Here is a 20,232-nt window from a genome sequence, read left to right as displayed (position 1 = left end):
GACAATGTTCATTAATGCTTCTGAAAGTACCTGAATGAAGAAAGCTAGCAGTAAAGCATAAACATAATAAATTTTGTTAGTTATTACGTGGTATTATGGTTAGCAAGGATATAAAAATGGAAGGTTGTCTGTATATGAAACTTACATCTTACAAATTTTCTTCTCAATCCAAAGACTAGAATATCCCTCTAATACACACATATGCATACACACATACACACACAAAGGTTAGGGAATATATCAAAGGGACATACAAGTGAAAGAGTTCCTGTGGGCAAAGTTGGAACAATTTGAGCAACAAAATAAAGTGGTGTTGGATTATTAACCAAGGTATAAAATAAATATCCATGAGTCTATACTGACATAAATAAATCACTGAATAAATATAATGTGGGAGAAGAAAAATTTCCCATGTAGAAGAATCCCAAATAGTTTATCTAGATTCTGCCCTCAAGGAAACAGCCTAACCTCTTAAGTGTGGGCTACAAATAGTGGCTTCCTTCCTTCCGAGTACAGTATGGAAGGGGAAGGGTGAAGAATAACTTTACAGTGTAGAATCTGACAAACAGTATTAAACCAGCCAGGTAAGTTAACATCAACTGTGCTAAGTCATGTTGAGAATATACATCTTTGATGATGGCACTTTATCTCTGTGGTCTTCTTCCCCCCACCCTGTAAAAAAAAAACATAATCCCAGTCTAATAATGAGAAAAATATTAGACAAATTCATATATTCTACATAATACATTACATGGCCATTACTCCTAAAAGAAAAGTTTGGAAAATAATCATGCTCAGAGGAGCCTAAGGAGATATTACAAATGTAATGTGTATCCTAGATGGGATTCTGGAACAGAAAAAAAAATTAAGAAAAACCTAAGGAGATCTGAATCAAGTATGGACTTAGTTAATAATAATAATAATATATGAATATTGGATCATTAATTGTGACACATACTATGTGAATATAAGATCTGACTAATGGGAAACTGTGGCTATATGTGAACTCACTATACTATCTTCCCCATGCTTCTACAAATTTAAAACTAATAAAAAATTTATTTTGAAAAAGACATTTTTTATTTTATTTATTTATTTTTATTTATTTATTTCTGAGTTGGAGTTTCACTCTGTCGCCCAGGCTGAAGTGCAGTGGTGCGATCTCAACTCACTGCAACCTCTGTCTCTCGGGTTCAAACAATTCTCATGCCTCAGCCTCCCCAGTAGCTGCAATTACAGGCGCTCGCCACCTTATCCAGCTAATTTTTGTATTTCTAGTAGAGACAGGGTTTTGCCATGTTGTCCAGGCTGGTCCCTAATTCCTGACCTTAGGTGATCGGCCCGCCTCGGCCTCCCAAAGTGCTGGGATTACAGGCAAGAGCCACGGTGCCTGGCCTGAAAAAGACTTTTTAAAAGCCTTCATTATTATGTTCATTTTCAAACCTATAATAATTTATCTGCATTGTATTAAAAAAGTCTTGTTTAGATTAATATATAGCCAGCCATAGTAATTTTTTTTATTAAACAGTTTAATTCACTGTTGTTTTTCAAGTAAAAACAGCCAAAACAACAGTGAATTAAACTGTTTAATAAAAAAAAATTACTACGGCTGGCTATATATTAATACAATGCAGAAAATTAAACAAGAAAACTGACATTCTAAAAACTAATTTCAACATAAGCATTTTGTAAGAACTTTAAATAATCATGTAATTTTCAAGTTAACATGGTTACAAATTAGTGTTATCTGATTTGCTCTCCTCTATCCTTCCACTGAAATACTCATAAAATCACTCTTGGATATATACAATGTTTATATAGTTCTGGAAGCTTAGAATACTGGTTAAAAATCTGAGATCTCAGGATAAATTAAACAAAGCATAGAGGCTTATAATAGAAATATAAGGCCAGGAAGACAGTAAGGGATTTCTACATTATCTGTCAGTTGGGTATCTTTACCTTAGCGATTTCTCTTTGCTCAAGGTATCAAAACAGCCTGAGTTGTTTCCCTTCCCTAGCCACGCTGACCATTTGTACACCTGTTTCCAAATGCATTCATAACTGTACAACTTGCAGGTATGTGAATAATGATGAAAGCACAGAGACCACGGTAGAATTAAAGAATCAAAACTCACTATCAGAGAGTTGTTTTTCATGTACAACTGGCAAACTAGAGAATGCTCAAAATATCTAAGAATAAATTCCCCAGGCATGTTTTATTTGGCTCATACAGTCTTTTAGGGTCTTTTCCCCCAGATATTTTGAATTAATTGCCAATATTTCAAAATTGAGACACTATACACAAGCAACTGGACCTAGTTCTCACTGAAAAATCAAAAGACTCAGCAAACACCGGCCAGCATTCCCATATGGCAGTAATAAGCAGATAGGTAGCAGTTGGTGAATTAGGGTAAGAGCTCTCTTGTTCCCCACTGTCCTTTCTCTATCCAAGTCATTAATTTACATGCCTGGGGTCTACAGGCATTTAATGTTGCAACTACTCATACAGGGAAACAGCTAAGTAGTAAACACAGCTTTTAATCTGGAGCATCAAACTACATTAAGTCAACAGCAAATATCAAACTTTTTTTTTTTTTTTTTTTTGAGGCAGAGTCCCACTCTGTTGCCCAAGGTAGAGTGCAATGGTGCAATCTTGGCTCACTGCAACCTCCGCCACCTGGGTTCAAGTGATCCTCCCACCTCAGCCTCCTGAACTGGGACTACAGGCATGCACCACCATACTTGGCTAATTTTTGTATTTTTAGTAGAGATGGGTTTCACCATGTTGGCCAGGCTGGTCTCAAACTCCTGACCTCAGGTGATCCGCCCACCTCGGCCTCCCAAAGTGCTAGGATTATAGGTGTGAGCCACTGTACCTGGCCAAATATCAAACATTTGACCACAGAGTGGGTTCATTCAACCACTCTCCAGTTTAAGATCTGGCTAAGCATTAAGATTTAGTAAAGTGAGTTACTGAACAAGATTTTCTTTTAAACTTTACTGATATTTATCATGAGTACAGAGATTTAGTAAAGTGAGTTACTGAACAAGATTTTCTTTTAAACTTTACTGATATTTATCATGATTGACCTGGACCCATAATTAATAGTACTTAATATACATTTAAATCAGAGAAGACTGACAACTTTTTCTAGTTACTGCAGGAATTTCTTTTTTCTAAAACTTTGGATTACTGTTTGTCTTAAGATTAGAAATTAAACGCAATGTCACTGAAGTGAGGAAAAAATTAATTTACTAGCTCATATAATATTAATAACTAAAAAAGACCAGAATGATATACAACTATAGTCCTGAACTGAGAAAATCATACACACCAAAGGCTCTAGTCTTACCCTCCTCATTTATCCCATGAACCCTTGCTGCTAATGTAACGTGAGTAGTTGGAGGAAAAATTTTTAGTTCACGCGTTCAGAGAAACTTTAAGTTCTGGAATACAGGAACAACTATAACAAAAGACTGGACACAGCAGCAACTGAGAGGCTTGCCTCTTTGGAGATCCTTCCACTCCAAATTATCCTTCCTCCGAATCACCTGTACTTCCCTGCCTGTTTTTTGAGACCAGGTCTTGTTCTATCGCCCAGGCTGTAGTGCTGTGGCATGATCACGGCTCACTGCAGCCTCAATCTCCTGGGCTCAAGTGATCCTCTCACCTCAGTCTTCCAAAATGCTGGGATTACAGGCATGAGCCACTACACCTGGCCATTTCCCCATACTTATTATCTACCTGAAATCTTATTTACTTAAGGCACATCCATACAGTATCATAAGTTAGTTCATATTGTTTTCTTTAGCAGCTAACTGAGCTCTCCTATATTGAAGGAATAGGTTTGAGTGAAGATGCAAAGTGTACTCACAGAAATATGAGAACATCAGCTACTTGAGAAAGAGGACTGGAGAACTAAGAGGGAATGAAAATGAAGTGGTAAGGCATTCCCAAAACAAAACTCTGAATTTGACAGTGGTCTTTCCTGCACAGTATCCTGTTCCTAGAATATAAAGTAACATTACAGTTTTACTGTGAATTTAAAAAATACTTTTTGTAACTAGTCTGGGAATTTAACCTCCATTAATAACCTAGAAAAATATGCCTGAAGGCATCCTTGTATATTAATGAGTTGACTGATGGCTGGCAGCCCATAGGTAACTTGAGGACAGGGGCTGGACATCAGAAAGGCCAAAGCATGACTACAAGGTTGAGACTTTTATCCCCACCTGTCCCCCCAACCTCTGGAGAGCAGAGAGGGGCTGAAGACTAAGTTGATCACCAATGGCCAATTACGTAATCAATCATGCCTAGGTAATGAAACTTTCATAAAAATCCAAAGGACTAGGTTCAGGAATTTCTGGAGAGCCGAACGTGCATGAGGTTTCTGGAGGGAGGTGTACCCAGGCAGGGCGTGGAAGGTCCCTGAGCCCCTTTCCCCCATATCTTGTCCTATACATCTCTTCCTGTCAATACTTTGTAAAATCCTTTATAATAAATTAGCAAATGTTTAAAAAATAAAAAATAAAAAGTAAGAAAAATAGAGGGCTGGGCGTGGTGGCTCATGCCTATAATCCCAGCACCTTGGGAAGCTGAAGTGGGTAGATCGCTTGAGCTCAGGTGTTCAAGACCAGCCTGGGCAACATGGTGAAACCCCATCTCTATCAAAAATACAAGAAATTAGTTGGGTGTGATGGCACGCACCTGTAGTCCCAGCTGAGGTGGGAGGAATCACTTGAGCCCGGGAGGCAGAGGTTGCAATGAGTGAGATTGTGCCACTGCACTCCAGCCTGGGTTACAGGGCAAGACCTCCTCTCAAAGAAAGTATGCTTCAAGTTCTAGAATATTCTAGAATACAAATGGTACACCAACAGAATTAAATTACTGTATTAATTAAATTGTGACACCGGTAACGAAAGCAGTGCTCATCATAATCCCAAAACACACAATCCTAAATGTTGAAATCCAAAATATCAAAATCCCGGAAGTCTAAAATCCTGAAAATCAATCTTGAAATGTCAAAATCCTGACAGTCGAATTCTGGGGAAAGGTTTAGCACATTTTTGGGTTGTACAAAGGACATTTGCATCATATGAGTTGCATCATGTTAGGTGGAACTATTCCTTTGTTAATGTCTTTATTTGGAAACTAAGTATAGTTTAAGGAAATGCATATGGGTACGTGGTCAAAGGGTAGACTTATGGACTTAATTTTAGGTGTCAACTTGACTGGATTAAGGAATACCTAAAAACCTGTTAAAGCACTATTTTGGGTGTGTCTGGGAGGATGTTTTCAGAGGACATTAGTGTGTGAGTCTGAGTGGACTAGGTAGGGAAGATCTGACCTCACTGTGGCACCATCAATTGGCCAGAAGCCAAGAGAGCAAATACAGAAAATGGATTGGTCTCTGAGAGTTAGGACAAGACTTTTCTTCTGCTTCCTTGGATATGAGAACTTCAGGCTCAGGGGCCTTTGTTCTCCAGGACTTACACTAAGCAGCCCCTCAGGGTCCTCGAAGCTTTCAATCTCCCACTGAGAGTTACACCACCAGCTTCCTTGGTTGAGGCCTTAGGAACTGGACTGAGCTTTGCTACAGCAACCCCAGAGTCTCTGGCTTGCAGATGGACTGTTGTGGAACTCCTCAGCCACCAGAATCTCTTATGTGAATTCTCCTAATAAATCTCTTCTCATATATCTATATACATATCCTATTGGTTCTCTCTCTGGAGAACCCTAATACAGACCTAGTATTGGAGAAGCCAATCATTCCTTCTTATTGTATTCCTTACAACACAATGGAAGACATCTACGGAACTGTCCCCTCAAAAAAAAAAAAAAAAAAAAGCCTATGGTAAGTTGAGCGCACTAAGCTCCTTAATGGTGAAAGACAGAAGTTTAAAAGCTAATTATTACTGGTGATGTGAAAGCAGAAAAATACTTAATTGCAATGGCCAAACAATAACCAGACTTCCAAAAAGACAACATATACTTACAAAATGTGTAGAGTACACCACTCTCCAAAAGTTCACAGAAGTGAAAATGCAGGCAAAAAGTAGGAGAAATCTCCCATGCCAAATTATTCAATCATGTATTACTTCTGCCCCTTCACACATTGTGCCAATTAGCTATGCTATCTTTCATCTTCACATCATTTCCAATTTTGGAGGTATAAATTGTATAAAGGTTTAGAGAGTTCTAATTCGTTATATGCATTTTAGTAAATGTGACTCTACAAAAGTGTATTATCACAACACTGACTTTGTGTGTAAGCACTGTGTGTATATGTGAAAACATTGAAATTTCCTCAATAAATGGAGATGTCCTTTTTTTACATCTGTATTTGTGAAAGACAAAATCTCTTGAGATCTTGGCTCTCTGGGCAACTGCATATGTGGTGGTGAATCATTACAGTTTTTGGCTGACCTCATCAAAAGACTCAGTTGTCCATCATGGTATTTGAGATGACTACAGTTATAATACTGCGTGTATACAATTACCAACCATAGTGATATGTATTTACACATTTCACTTTGTGACCTATTTCTTTATGAATAATGGCTTATCTGCTTATAACTGTTATACCCATGTGACTATCCTTAGTGTATCTATTTATGCTTGCAAAAATATGTATGTCATTACTGCCTATTTTATGGTGTAAAGTGGTTTATGTTCTGTGGTATTTTATGATTCTCAAATCCCCTTTTAAAAATGTAAATAAACATCTTTTAAAAAGTTTGTAAAAATTATTTTTTCCAGAATTAATGGAATTTCAATCCTTTGGGATTTCAGACATTAGGGATTTTGATCATTGAGGATTTCAACATTTGGGATTATGGTGTTCAGGATTGTGTCTTTTAGAATTATGATTCAACCCCAACTGAAGGGACCATTTTATTTTTTTAAACAGTCATTTCTTAGATACAATATGCTTGAATTTCATGTTATATTTTCCTGCAGGGGCCAGCCTGTAAGAAAAAAAAAGTATTTGATAACAATATATATTTTAAATTATTTTATTCCCTGTTTCTGTCTATTGCAAAGCATTCTATTTGCCTTTAAGATTATTAGATGCGGCTCTTTGTAATTATAAACTTCCTCTAGTACTTAACACCCTTACTGACTCTAAGGTGTCAAAGACTTGAATGAAGCATCATTCTTTCAATTGCAGGGGAGAAATGACTATTTGTAACTTTATTGCAAGCATTTTTTCTTTTTCAGCAACATTCACTGTATACACAGTCATTTATAATCTAAGTTTAAAAAAACTGACTCCTACACAGAAGTCATCACTGCTTTTAAAAATTTATGTAAAACACTATCTCCATGAGTGTTTCATTGGGAAGATCACCTACAGAGCCAGGGCCATCAGTTTTATCTTCAATAATATCTCTCTACACAAAGTTGTCACAAACAGTGAAGTTAAAGCAGTAGGACCAGGAAGTAGAAAATCTCTCAAAAAGATTCTGGTGTCCTGCTGTTTTACTGATTTATTAAAAATAATATAATTTACTTAATACAAAATGCAGGTTCATTACTTCTATACTAATGTAAAGGCTACTGGATATAGCAAATTTAACACGTTGCTATGGAATCAATAATATGATTGTTAATTTGCTTTTATTCTTTCCTCCTTCAATTTCTAGAAACATATCATCACCAACTATTTTACACATATAACTTCAAAGGAAAAGCCAAATATGAAAATGAACACAATCATATTTAGATGTCTACAAATGAACCATCTATTAGTAACAAGTTAGCACTAATAAATTAGTCACAATAGTTCATCTTCTGGTCTCTCTGCCTCACCAACCCCACATCCTCTAAAAGCGTAGGAGTGCTTTTCTTTTACCCGAGCCTCCTACTTGGGGAAATTTTTAAAAGATAATTTACATGACTGTCATTTGCTAATTTACTCAAAAGGAAATAACCAGGTGGAAATTTTTTAAGCTACCAAGCATGATAATAAAGTAATAGAATTGAAAAGTTCTCATTTGATGTTTCTTGTTTAAATTACAATATAATAGACTTTTAACTATGGAAACACACTTACACAATTATTCCATTCTCTCAGCTCAACCATTTTTGGGATCGATGACTTTGAAGGGCTACTCCTGCATAGTAATATTCCACTAGAGTGAATAACTGCATTTACAACCATGATATTTTTTAATAACAAAGCTAATTACCATGGACTAGCAGTGACCCAAATATGCCCTGTATATGAGTGGGTGAGGAGGAAGCACTGGTACTAATCTTCAGTTTTCAAGCACAAGGATAATATGTAATTTAACTCACTTTAGCCCATTGCATCTGGTAGGATCCAATCAAAAAAATGAGAACCGCCGGGCGCCTGTAATCTCAGCACTTTGGGAGGCCGAGATGGGCGGATCACCTGAGGTCAGGAGTTTGAGACCAGCCGGGCCAACATGGCGAAACCCCATCTCTACTAAAAATAAAAAAAAATTAGCTGGGTGTGGTGGTGCGTGCCTGTAATCCCAGCCACTTGGGAGGCTGAGGCAGGAGAATTGCTTGAACCCAGGAGGCGGAGGTTGCAGTGAGTCGAGACAGTGCCACTGCACTCCAGCCTAGGCTACAGAGGGAGACTTCATCTCAAAAAAAAAACAAAACAAAAAAGAACCACACCCTAACTTGAACAGGCAAAGTTTCATATACACATGAACAGAAGACAGGAAAATACTGGGTAGAAGAGGGCAGATCCCCGGCAAATGCCCCACACTCAAGTCTGAAGACCAGTGGCCCTAAAAGAGGACAGCCATTCCTGTTTTTGCGCCCAAAAAGTTGCCTTTGGCCCACCACTTCCCCCATCTTGCCCCCATTTAACCCAAGACCTTAGTGGGCACACACACAAACTGCTGAATGTCAAGAGAAGCGGTGGAGAGCGGCAGAGAGCAGCAGGGTGGCATGGCAGAGGAGGAAAGAGGCACCTGAATATTGAGAGGAGTTTGGCTGAGAACAGCTGAACTCCAGGGGAAGATTATATCCCCCACCCCTCCCCACCTTCTGGCTCCCCATCCATCTCACTGAGAGCCACCTCCACCATTCAGTAAAATCTTGCACTCATCCTTCGAGCCTGCGTGTGATCCGGGACGCTAGGGAACAGCGTGGGATATGGAAGGCTGTCACACTGGCCCTCTTCCTTGCAATAAAGCAGAGGGTCCATTGAGCTGATTAACACTCAAAGCCGTCTGCAGACGGCAAAGCTGAAAGAAAGAGCTTTGTAACAGTGGGGTTGCAGGCACTCACCCCTAGACATTACCATGGGGCCAAGAGCCCAAAGCTTCCTCCTGGTCTCTGCACCTACCTGTCTGCATGCTCGCCCTAGGGGTTTGAGCTGCGGGGCGACCAAGCAGGTGAGCCACACCTCTGTCACACCTCCTGCAAGGGGAATCAGGGAACTCTCAATTACAATTATTAATTGTAATAGGAAAATAACTATCAATGTGTAATGAAAATTCTGAAGAATACTCAAGTACTCAAGGGCTGAGTGAGGGTATCCACGGAAGGAACAAACTTAGAAGAGGGTCCCCACTCCCCATAACTAGGGTTCAGGCCTTATTGGAATTATGGCTGCAGCCCACTGGATGGCAAAGTAGTTCTCCCTGTGGTTGCTGGGGCTTAAGGGGCTCGAGGTTGAGCATACACAGTCAGTTGGGACATTGAGAATCTCATTACCAGCAGGGCCTGCACAAGGAAAGCCCTCCTGAGTGTAAGTAGACATGCAGGGGAAGTTGGAATATTGGCAGCTGGCTCTCCAGAAGGCAGGCATGAGGTCTGGGGTGTGCAGCCTCATGCTGGGAAAACTACAGAGAGGAGGTCACTAAGCTGACGCTGGGGCTGTGAGCTAGACAAGGGTCTGTCTGCTCTTGGCACATACTTGGGGCAGAGGACCCCTGGATATCCATAGCCACACTACTGGCAGCCGTGCATTCACAGTAAGAAGAAACAAAACCATAAGCCCGCCCTTGTGCACTGTCCTTCCAGCACTCTCCACTCACAAAATTAACATCACATAAAGAAGAAATGCCGAAGGCAAGCTTGTTCAACATCAACATGTGGCCCAGGATGGCTTTGAATGCGGGCCAATGCAAATTTGTAAATAAGGTTTTTGTTTTGTTCTGTTTTTTTGTTTTGTTTTGTTTTGCGATTCAGCTCATCAGCTATTGTTAGTGTATGTTATGTGTGGCCCAAGACAATTCTTTCAATGTGGCCCAGGGAAGCCAAGACATTGGACACCCCTGGCCTAAAGGGTTAGGCTCCAATATTGCAGATCAAGTAATGAAGAGGTAATTTAGAGCTGGGAGAGAATCTGGTAACTGGCACACTCAATACTCGGGGATCTTCATAAAGAATAAAACATGGCAGAAGCAATAAACTAGAAATACACATTAAATTAAATCTGACTAAAAGATAGCATGAAAAAAATCTGACTGGGCTGTTGCTGTAATGTCTCCGTACATGGAGGAAATAGGGCAAATAAATCAGGCAGTTATTTAATAATGTATTCTTAGAAAACTTCATTACTCACAGCACTATGAACTAGTGGTTTCCAAACAGAGGATGTACACTGAAGTACAGCAGGAAAAAAAGTATATTAAATTGTTCTGAAACATAAAATTACATCATAAACAGACTTGAAAAACTATATAAGCCGAAATAGTATATATATTTATACATATGATTTATAATTAGACATACTTATATTGAGGTTTTCTATTCAAATGTTTTCTGGTAAGGTACCCAATTAAAAAATTTGAAGACCACTGCTGTAGAAAATAGCCCTACTTCTCTCCACAGTTTACATACTCCTTTATACCATATAGAGTCCACATTGGCCAGGCACAGTGGCTCATTCCTGTAATCCCAGCACTTTGGGAGGCTGATGCGGGCGGATCACCTGAGGTTGGCAGTTCGAGACCCTCCTGGCCAACATGGTGAAACCCTGTCTCCACTAAAAATACAAGAATTAGCTGGGCATGATGGTGCACACCTGTAATCCCAGCTACTCGGGAAGCTGTGGCAGGAAAAATCTCTTGAACCTGGGAGGTGGAGGTTGCAGTGAGCTGAGATCAAGCCAGTGCACTCCAGCCCGGGCGACAGAGTGAGACTCCATCTCCCAAAAAAAAAAAAAAAAAGCCACATATATCACAAATACAGACTTGTTTTTGTTTAATCCAATAAAACAAATAATCTTATATTAATATTTAAAGATTGGGAAACAATGTCTGCAACAAATTGCTATCACTATAGTTCATAAATATGTATTATTCAACCTTTAAAGGGCCTATACATCACTTAAATTCAAAACTAATGAAATTCCCACTAATATAGAATAAAGAACCCTAATTAGCACATTCTTAAATAAGGGTATTACTAAGCCTCCACAAGGGTAAAATGCTTACATTCTGCTTTCCTGAAACTTAGTTTCAAAAGATTCAAGTTTTCTTTCACAAATTCCTTTAGTACCCTAAAGCAAACTTCAACAATCACACCTACACACTGTCCCTAAAAAAAGAAATAAAATGTTTTACTTAGTTTGGGTTCTGCTTTTCTTGTGTTGTTAAAAATTCCTAGTTACTTGACTAGGTCGTTATTTTACATCTCTGTACCTTAGTGGTCTCATAAATAAACAGGGATAGTAACCACCTATTTCAGAGAGGTGCTGAGGACTAAATAAATAATTTCCCTCTCTCTTATACACATAGGCAGACATACACAACACACAAACGTAACAGTTCCTGGCATATAACTTTAATAAATGTAAGCTAATAAGAGTACTACTACTTATTATACACTCACATTTGCTTTATAAGAACTGTTTGATCAAACTGAATCCTTGCCCTGAATATAGATATCCAATTCAGAAATGAGATGAAATAAGAATAGTCAAAAGTAACATAATTTCAGTAAAGAACAGCTTCTTAAAGGCACAAAATTCACCTTTCTTCCAAAAATTGAAACCACCTATTCAAGGAGAAAACCATTCAACAAGATTTAATTACTTACAATTCAGCAAACTAGGCATGTTCCCTCTTTTTAAGAACACCAGCTTGGGAGGTAGAAGAAAGAAACACAATCATAATACAAAGAAACTATGAAAAACATACACAGTTCAATAAAAAGAATGAGGAACACGTAATTAAATCCCTTTAGTAGCATAGGAAGGCCTAATGAAAATGTAGAATTTGAATAGCCTTACCATAGACTAAAGCAAAGAGATGTGGTGAAACCAAGTCAATAAAAAAAAGAAAACACTAAAGGAGAAAGCTAAGGCAAATGCACAGAAGTGAGGGAGGATACATAAGCTGTAGTATAAGAACAGACTACAAAGCCCTAAGACTACAAAAAAATAAGAGATATGGTGCCAATCAGTTAGGATGGGACACTGGAAGCATGAAATATTCCTGAATGTAAGGTTTATGAGCTAGAATTTTAGTTTTCATGGAACAATAGCATTTTACATGGTGCTTGTTAATGTGATGTGCACTGTACTGATGCCTCATTTAATCCTTACAAACCTATGAAGTAGATATGACTATTATCCTCATTAAAGAAATTAAGAAAATGAGCCCATAACTAGTAGATGGTGAAGTTGGGATTTTAACTCATGGTGTCCAACCCAGAATTTGAATTCTTCAACATCACATAGTCTTTTAAAGTCTTTAAGGAACAAATATGGTATCTGTGCTTTGGAAGGATAACTAATAATCTTAGTGACAGTATAGAAGACAGATTTAAAAAGAAGTGAATGGAGGACAGAAAAGTAACTTCATGAAAAAACAAATATTTGTTAAATTTTCCTATGGCAAGAAAACTATGTAGCCAGTAATGACATATCAAATTTAAGCAGCAAAGGATACAAGAAATAGTACAGGAATAAAATTGACAAAACTTGGTAACTGGCCTGTGGAAATAAGAGGAGGAGCTAAAAATGACTGAAGGATTCAAAACATTTTTTTTTTTTTTTTGAGATGGAGTTTCGCTTGTCACCCAGGCTGGAGTACAGTGGTGCGATCTCGGCTCACTGCAAACTCCGCCTCCCAGGTTCAAGTGATTCTCCTGCCTCAGCATCCTGAGTAGCTGGGATTACAGGCATGTGCCACCACCCCCAGCTAATTCTGTATTTTTAGTAAAGACGGGTTTTCACCATGTTGGCCAAGCTGGTCTTGAACTCCTGACCTCAGGTGATCTGCCCACCTCGGCCTCCCAAAGTGCTGGGATTACAGGTGTGAGCCACTGTGCCTGGCCAAGGATTAAAAATTTAAGTGTGTGTCTGTGGGGAGGAGTGGGGGGCCGGGGGAGGCGGTGCATCAGAATAGCAACAGGCTTTCTTATTGGTGGGAGGATGGAGGGAAAACTGGATGAGTTCCATTTTAGACATATTTAATTAGAAGTACTTACTAAACATCCACGAGGAAGAGTTCCACAGGTGACTGAAAATGGAAGCCAAGGGCTAAAAGTCTATAAAAATAATGGACACCTGGAAATCCTATCCAGAGTGAGTGACGGGAGATAATGTCAGAGTGGATGACTGCTGAAGATGAGTATGTAAAGCATGGATTATCAACCAGGTCATCAGGAACCACTTTCTGAGGAGAAAGTCCTGCCTCAGACATAATGATGAGTTGGGAAAAATGCTTGAGTGTTGCTAGTGAAGAGTGAAAGGAAGAAAACATTGAGGGTGATAGGGTTCAGTAAATGCTACCCCAAAATATGGTACCTTGGTATTTGAGAAAGTAGCAGAAGCAGGAAGGTTTCTGACCTCCTCCCACCCTTCTCCCCTGAAACAGGCCATAAAACAATTTTCTGACCTTCCCCTAAAGTAAGTCATAAGACCCTCATTCCAGAGGTGCCCTCGCTATTCCCTGAGGAAAGGAAATGTCCTTATCTCTGAAAACACAGGAACATTAAGAATCTGCACAAACAGGCCTTGTTAAGCTCCCCTCCAGTTTATTACCATTAGATCCTACCTGCTTTGACCAATCACATTTCCCCACCACTGTCTATTCTTCATCAAATCCAAGCACTGAAATACACAGGTTTCCCTGTATCTTTGGGTCTTCATTTCTGAAAACTTCATGTCATGTGAAACTTTTATTAAATAAATTTGTGTTATTTTCTCTTCTTAATCTGTAGTCTGTTAAAGGTGACTCAGCCACGAACCTAGTGACAGGTGGGAAAAAGCTAATACTTTTTCTTCCCTATGAGGGAAAGCCCCCCCCACCACACATATACTACAAACTTTTGGATCTAGTCCTCTTTAATATATTAATAATAGCTATCATTTACCTTCCAGAAGGTGAAAGGAGTAAAGACAATAAACAGTCACAAACGTAGAACCAGGAGCGTAGTGTAAATAAATTGAAGGTAAGTCTAGGTGGGGTCACAAACATTTTAAACAGCCAAGAGGAGTTGGCCAGGAAGCCATTTCAATCCACAGCCAGGCATCAGTTCAATATTGCCAGATCTTCTGATTTTCCAAAAGCCCCAAACTCTCATTTCAATATGAAAGTTTATGATTTCTTAAATGCTGACAAATTTTCTTTAAAACAATGTATAGGCACATGAATAGTCTTTGAACTGCTGGGTTGCTATGCAGGTCTACAAGTACTACAGATATGCCAAGCCAGGTGACCATTAAAATAACATTTTCTTGGTCAAGGGTGGTGGTTCACATCTGTACTCCTAGCACTCTGGGAAGCCAAGGCAGGAGGATCGCCTGAGGCCAGGAGTTCAAGACCAGCCTGGGCAACATAGTGAGACACTGTCTCTACAAAAAAATTCTTAAAAATTAGCCAGGCATGGTGGTGTGGGCCTGTAATCCTAGCTACTCAGGTGGCTGAGGCAGGAGAATCACTTGAGCCCAGGAGTTCAAGGCTGCAGGTAGCCATGACTGTACCACTGCACTCCTGGGTAAAAGTGAGACCCCAACTCAAAAAAAGAGAACATTTTCTTTTGTATGGTTGAAGAGTTGAATCCAAACTGCAATGAAAAAGTAATGAAGGCAATAAAAACAATACCTTTCCAAGAAGTCTGGCAATAACGATGAGGGGAAAAAAAAGAATTAAGGAAAACCTTTTTTAGGAAGGAGAAGTTTCACATAAGGAGAGAAGAAGTCAGAGGAAGGGGCAAAATCTGAAGAGAGATGACCAGTGAAGCAAAAAGATGAGAAAGACATGTACTCGTCCATAGGCTAAAAGACAGAAGTGATGAAAAGTGATGAAGACTCAAAAAAGTGGGATGGTTCTCTGAAGTGGTGGGGATCAAGTACACATACGAGAAGATGCACTTTGGAAAGGGAACAGCCACTTCTTCCTTAGGTTTCCCAGGAAGGAAATGAAAAGTCCAGAGAAAATCTGAGATGACGACTTCGGGAAATGTGTAAGATAACCTCGGTCTTCTCAATAAATTTTTAGAAACATTAGCACTGAGTATATTTGCATAAATTTCACTGTTTGATAATATTGTTCCTCTGATAAAGTATAATTCCCCTATTCATACTATATACACATCGGTGTCATGATTCCAGAGAAATATATTTAAAATCTTAGGTACCAAAAAAATGAGTTTAATGGGCCTTAGTACGTAAGACAAGAATAAGCAGCGTAAGTCTTTAAAAATTAAATCAAAGGTATGAAACTCTTCAGGAATGGCTTTATTATGACTCTAGGACAAGAACATTCACTATCTTAGTACAGCGAAGCAAGCAGTAGAAAGAGGAAATAGGAGGAAAAAACACCAGTTTAGGAAGAAAATACTGTCAGAAGAGAACTACACTTTAACTCCCCTCATGACCCCTGCCAACAGTGCTGTTATATTCTAGAGCACTACTTGTCAAACTGTTCTGCAGCAGTTACTTTTTTATTTTATACATCAAGGTATCAGGTAAGACTGGGGAGAAAAGGGAGTTTCCCTATTCTATTTTTTAACTGTAAAACCACTATCTAGATGACAAGAAACTGAACAGTATTTTATTAACACTAAGATTAATGTTCTTGGACAAATCACACGGCTGCAGGTTGTTCAGAGGTGGTGCCGCAGGCTGAACATGTCCTTCCTTTCCTAGAGCTGCCGACCTATCCTGCTGCTTGGGTGTTGGTGAATTCCTGCCTGGTGGCCCAGCCAAAAGCACATCACTCTGCTACCTTAACAGGAAATACACTGGCATTGCAGAGAAGCTTAATGTGAAGCTCCTGCACTATTCTGAGAGCCTTTTAGGTGTCCCCATTGCATATAACATGAAAGTTGTGGTGAACTGGGAGATATTTATGATGATCAAGGACACATTAATCTTAACATTGAAGCAGATTTTGTTATTTTCTGCCCTGAACCAGGGTAAAAGGTTATAGTACAGTTAACAAAGTGTCTTCTAGTCAGACTGGCTATTTTGTACAAAAATATTTTAATACGTCCATCCCTAAACCTGAGATGTCAGCTGAGCAGTGGCAGGCTGTGGAGATAAATGTGGGTGATGAACCAGAATATGAAGTGTTTCATCTAGATTAAGATGCTACTGAAATATTCTGCATTTAGGGAAAACAATCACTAGTTTACAACCCAAGAGCTCTGAAGTTTCTGATAAACCAGCACTGAAGAAGCTTTTGAAAAACTTCCAAAGAAGAAAAAGAGAAACCAGAAAGACCCAGAGATGAATGAAGTGGATGATGGTACCACAAGCTAGCAAATTTTGCAGATGTCACCCCAAAGGAAGAGTTAGACTTACAGATTATTACTAATGTGAATAGCCTCTGGGAAGATGAGCCAAAGGAGGAGAAAAAGAAAAAGCATCAGGACTAGGACCTTGTTTTCCAAAGCAGTGACTCCAGCAGTTATCAAAGTGACCATAGAAAGAAAAAAAAAGAAAGAAACACAGTGAAGAAGCTAAATTTACCCCACTTTTGGAATGCTCGCCTAAACAGAAAATAAAAAAGTAATCTTCCTTAGGGAGTTTTAAATATGATTCAGTTTTTAAAAGATTGACTTATACACAATGGATGAATAAATGTTTTGAATGATATGGAATGCTAGTGTACATCAGCAGTTTACAAAACAGGGAACACTTGATAAGGAGTTGGATTTTTTTTTGTGCCAAAATTACAAAACTGACAATAAATTAATCTGGAGAATTCCAATATTATTAAAGTGCCATTTTACTGTATATAGAATAAAAAAGTAAGAGCTGCTGTCACTCTCAACTCTTCCATCTTTCCAGGTTTTATACTACATAAAGTTATTCCTATAATCTTAAGACTATCAGAAAGAATTATAATACAATATTACATCATTAAAAATGAGTTAAATATAGGTTTTTAATTTTATTTGAAACAGATTTCACCTTTAATCATTACATGCCATTTCATTTTTTAATTAAAAAAAAATTTTTTTTTTTTTTGAGACAGAGTCTCATTCTGTCGCCCAGATTGCAGTGGTGCAATCTTGGATCACTGCAACCTCGACTTCCCAGGCTCAGGTGATCCTCTCATTTCAGCCTCCTGAGTAGCTGGGACTACAGGTGTGCACCACCACGCCCAGCTAATATTTTTTATTTTTTATAGAGATGAGGTTTTGCCGTGTTGCCCAGGCTGGTCTCAAACACCTGGGCTCAAGTAAGCCACCTGCCTTGGCCTCCCAAAGTGCTGGGATTACAGGTATGAGCCACCATGCCTGGTCCTATGTTATTCTGCATTTAGAAAAACTCAGGGCATTTATTGGTATTAGGTTTCCTTTTATCATGACTACTATAGTACTTCTATTGTTTAACTTAGAATGGTTAAACATTCTAAAGAATGCTTAATTAGTCTCCAGGGTGCTAATGAACCACGCCACTCACTGACTCCTGGGCAACAATACTCACTATTCTTTCCCACCAGGTGCATATGTATTGTTTTCTTTTTTCTTTAAGTCTAAGAGGTTGATGAAAAGAGCTGTTCTTTTGTTACTTGTCCATTTGTGCCTCAACCATTCTGATTCTGGTGTGTCTTGGAGGAGTAGTCGGATGAAAGCAAGATAAATGTGATTCTGACTACTGGGAAATTTCCTGATTACTTTTTAATGATTGGGGTAGGCTATCATAAATTGTTCTAAAGAGAAAAACAGCTGTTCACTGCTTTCACTAAGAAAATGTAGCAAACAAGGTGGATGCAGTTCCTTCCCTCATAGGGTATCATAGGGTAAAGAGTACACAGTATAAGAGACTATAGAAAATTAGTAATTGTGCTAAGTGCTATGAAGAAAAAGAGATTGCCCATTCACAGTTACCTTTGTTAGTATTTGCAAACAGATAAATGGTTGAATTGAACTCTCCATGTCAGGCATTTTTGTTGCCATTTAACTAGTACCAGACATAGTGCTAATCTCATAGTTTAATGTTCAATAATAAGTATGTTCCGCTAGTGGTATATCTTGATTTAAATCTAGATGATAGGATATAGAGGTTGGAGAGTGGCAGACATTCCCACTGGTTTACAAGTAGATGTGCCAGACAATGAAAGGGTGCAAACCAGTATATTTCATTACAATTGAGATTCATGTGAGTATACAGCCCTTGAAATGTTAACTAGTCCAAGCTGACATATGCCATCAGTATAAAATACATACCAGACTTTGAAGATGTACAAAAAAGACTGTAAACTATGTCAATTTTTATGTTGGTGAAATTACAACATTTTTGGTATAGTGGATTAAATAACTTTTTAAAACTAATGTTATTTTATGAGGGAACATTTTGGATCTACTCCTCTTAAAAGTATTAATAGCTAACAATTACTCTGTAATTCTAGCACCATAATAAGCAAAGTACTCAGCAAACATTATGCCTTAATCACAACAGCTTGAAGCAGATATTATTACCTCTAGTCTATATGTAAGAACAGAGATTAAAAAAACAAACAAAAAAAAAACCAACAAAAAACCACAACCCTGAAGTCCTTCAGGAAGTGCCAGAGTTGGAATTCAAATCATAGTTCAAAATCTGTTCTTTTAGTTACTATATAATCCCAGCTTCTCTCTCATCCCCAGCCTCTCAAATTCTAGTTTAAAATTTTGGACAAAGGAAAGGTTTCAACTATAAAGCCACTAATCTCCTGGCACATTCACTCCCATCAACTAACTCCAAACCCTCCACCACACACATGCAAAAGTATCTTTTATAAATTATTATAAAGTCTAATCCTACTTTCTTTAAAAGGTAGGCTTCAAACAAATTAATCAGTAATTTAATGTTATTTTTAAAAGTGATAATCATGGGTAACTTGAAAACAGTGGAATTATTAATGTTTTAAAATTATGCTAGGTCATATCATACATAAAACATCCAAAGTGTTTCCAAAGTAGTCTAAGTGTAAATGAAAATGTTACTTTATATTACAACAATCATTTAAAATAATTATGGCTTTCATCAATTCTAATAACAACCATAAAAGGTCCCCATTTGAAGGATAAAGAAACAAAGAAAAGCTACAAGTGGCATGCCAAGGTCACAATAAACAATATGTGAAAAAACCAACATCCTTAGAATCCCAAGATTTTAATTCACAGTATCTAATGGGCTGTCAAGCAAACTATATATGAAAGACAAAATCTAGGATGTAGTTTCTTTTGCTCAAATAAAACAAGATTTATAAAGGATGGTTTTCATGGATTAAAAAACCCACACCACAAATATTTTCATTCAATTATAGGTAAATCCTCAAAGGTCTTTTGGTGTTGAAAATAATTTCTCCTTAGGCAGAATTTGCAGTATCAGGTAATCTTTTCAAAAATATTTCATAAGCAAGTCACAATACTGGATATACTGATCAATTTATTGCCAACATATTCAACTTCACTTACTAGGGTTAATTCTTAATTACTAAAGAAGCAGTTTTATGACACATGCATTCAGAAATGCTTTCTACAAAATATCTTCATGCTGATGAACTTCATGGTCAGTTTGAGGATATAAATTTTATTGACAATGTCATTTTATGCAATGTGCACTATCCTATTTTAGGGAGGCAATTAAAAAAAATCCCAAGCCAAGGCTTAAAATAAGATTATACAAATATGAATAGGTTAAGTCATGGAATAAATCACCAGATTCAAACTACTTAAGTATCAGGCTTTTATGTTTTAGTCTCCTAAAATAATATAATAATCTTGTAGAAGTTTTGTTTTTAAAAAAATTAAAATTTGCATTATTTCAGAATATAAATTGACAATGCTTTTGA

The 20,232-nt window shown here is 37.9% G+C and overlaps 1 protein-coding gene and 1 pseudogene across 3 annotated transcripts in view, besides 2 other annotated features; one reads left to right on the top strand and one right to left on the bottom strand.

The window, feature by feature from the left end:
* Nucleotides 1–20,232, bottom strand: part of ZNF292 (zinc finger protein 292) — a 110,379-nt gene that overhangs the window by 75,625 nt on the left and 14,522 nt on the right. The gene's annotated exons all lie outside the window — the stretch shown is intronic.
* Nucleotides 8,037–8,670: an enhancer, noted in NCBI's record as "H3K27ac-H3K4me1 hESC enhancer chr6:87891367-87892000 (GRCh37/hg19 assembly coordinates)". NCBI's record gives its function as "activates a minimal SCP1, AML or CMV promoter by ChIP-STARR-seq in primed H9 embryonic stem cells {active_cell/tissue: H9 hESC(primed)}" and the evidence as "EXISTENCE:reporter gene assay evidence [ECO:0000049][PMID:30033119]".
* Nucleotides 16,056–17,147, top strand: LOC100418923 (RNA polymerase I subunit F pseudogene; annotated as a pseudogene).
* Nucleotides 17,537–18,378: an enhancer, noted in NCBI's record as "OCT4-NANOG hESC enhancer chr6:87881659-87882500 (GRCh37/hg19 assembly coordinates)". NCBI's record gives its function as "activates a minimal SCP1, AML or CMV promoter by ChIP-STARR-seq in primed H9 embryonic stem cells {active_cell/tissue: H9 hESC(primed)}" and the evidence as "EXISTENCE:reporter gene assay evidence [ECO:0000049][PMID:30033119]".

The sequence above is a fragment of the Homo sapiens genome, chromosome 6 (genome assembly GCF_000001405.40).
Source record: "Homo sapiens chromosome 6, GRCh38.p14 Primary Assembly".
Lineage (NCBI taxonomy): Eukaryota > Metazoa > Chordata > Mammalia > Primates > Hominidae > Homo > Homo sapiens.
The sequence above is the reverse complement of the archived record's forward strand: the minus strand, read 5'-3'. Positions and strand labels throughout refer to the sequence as shown.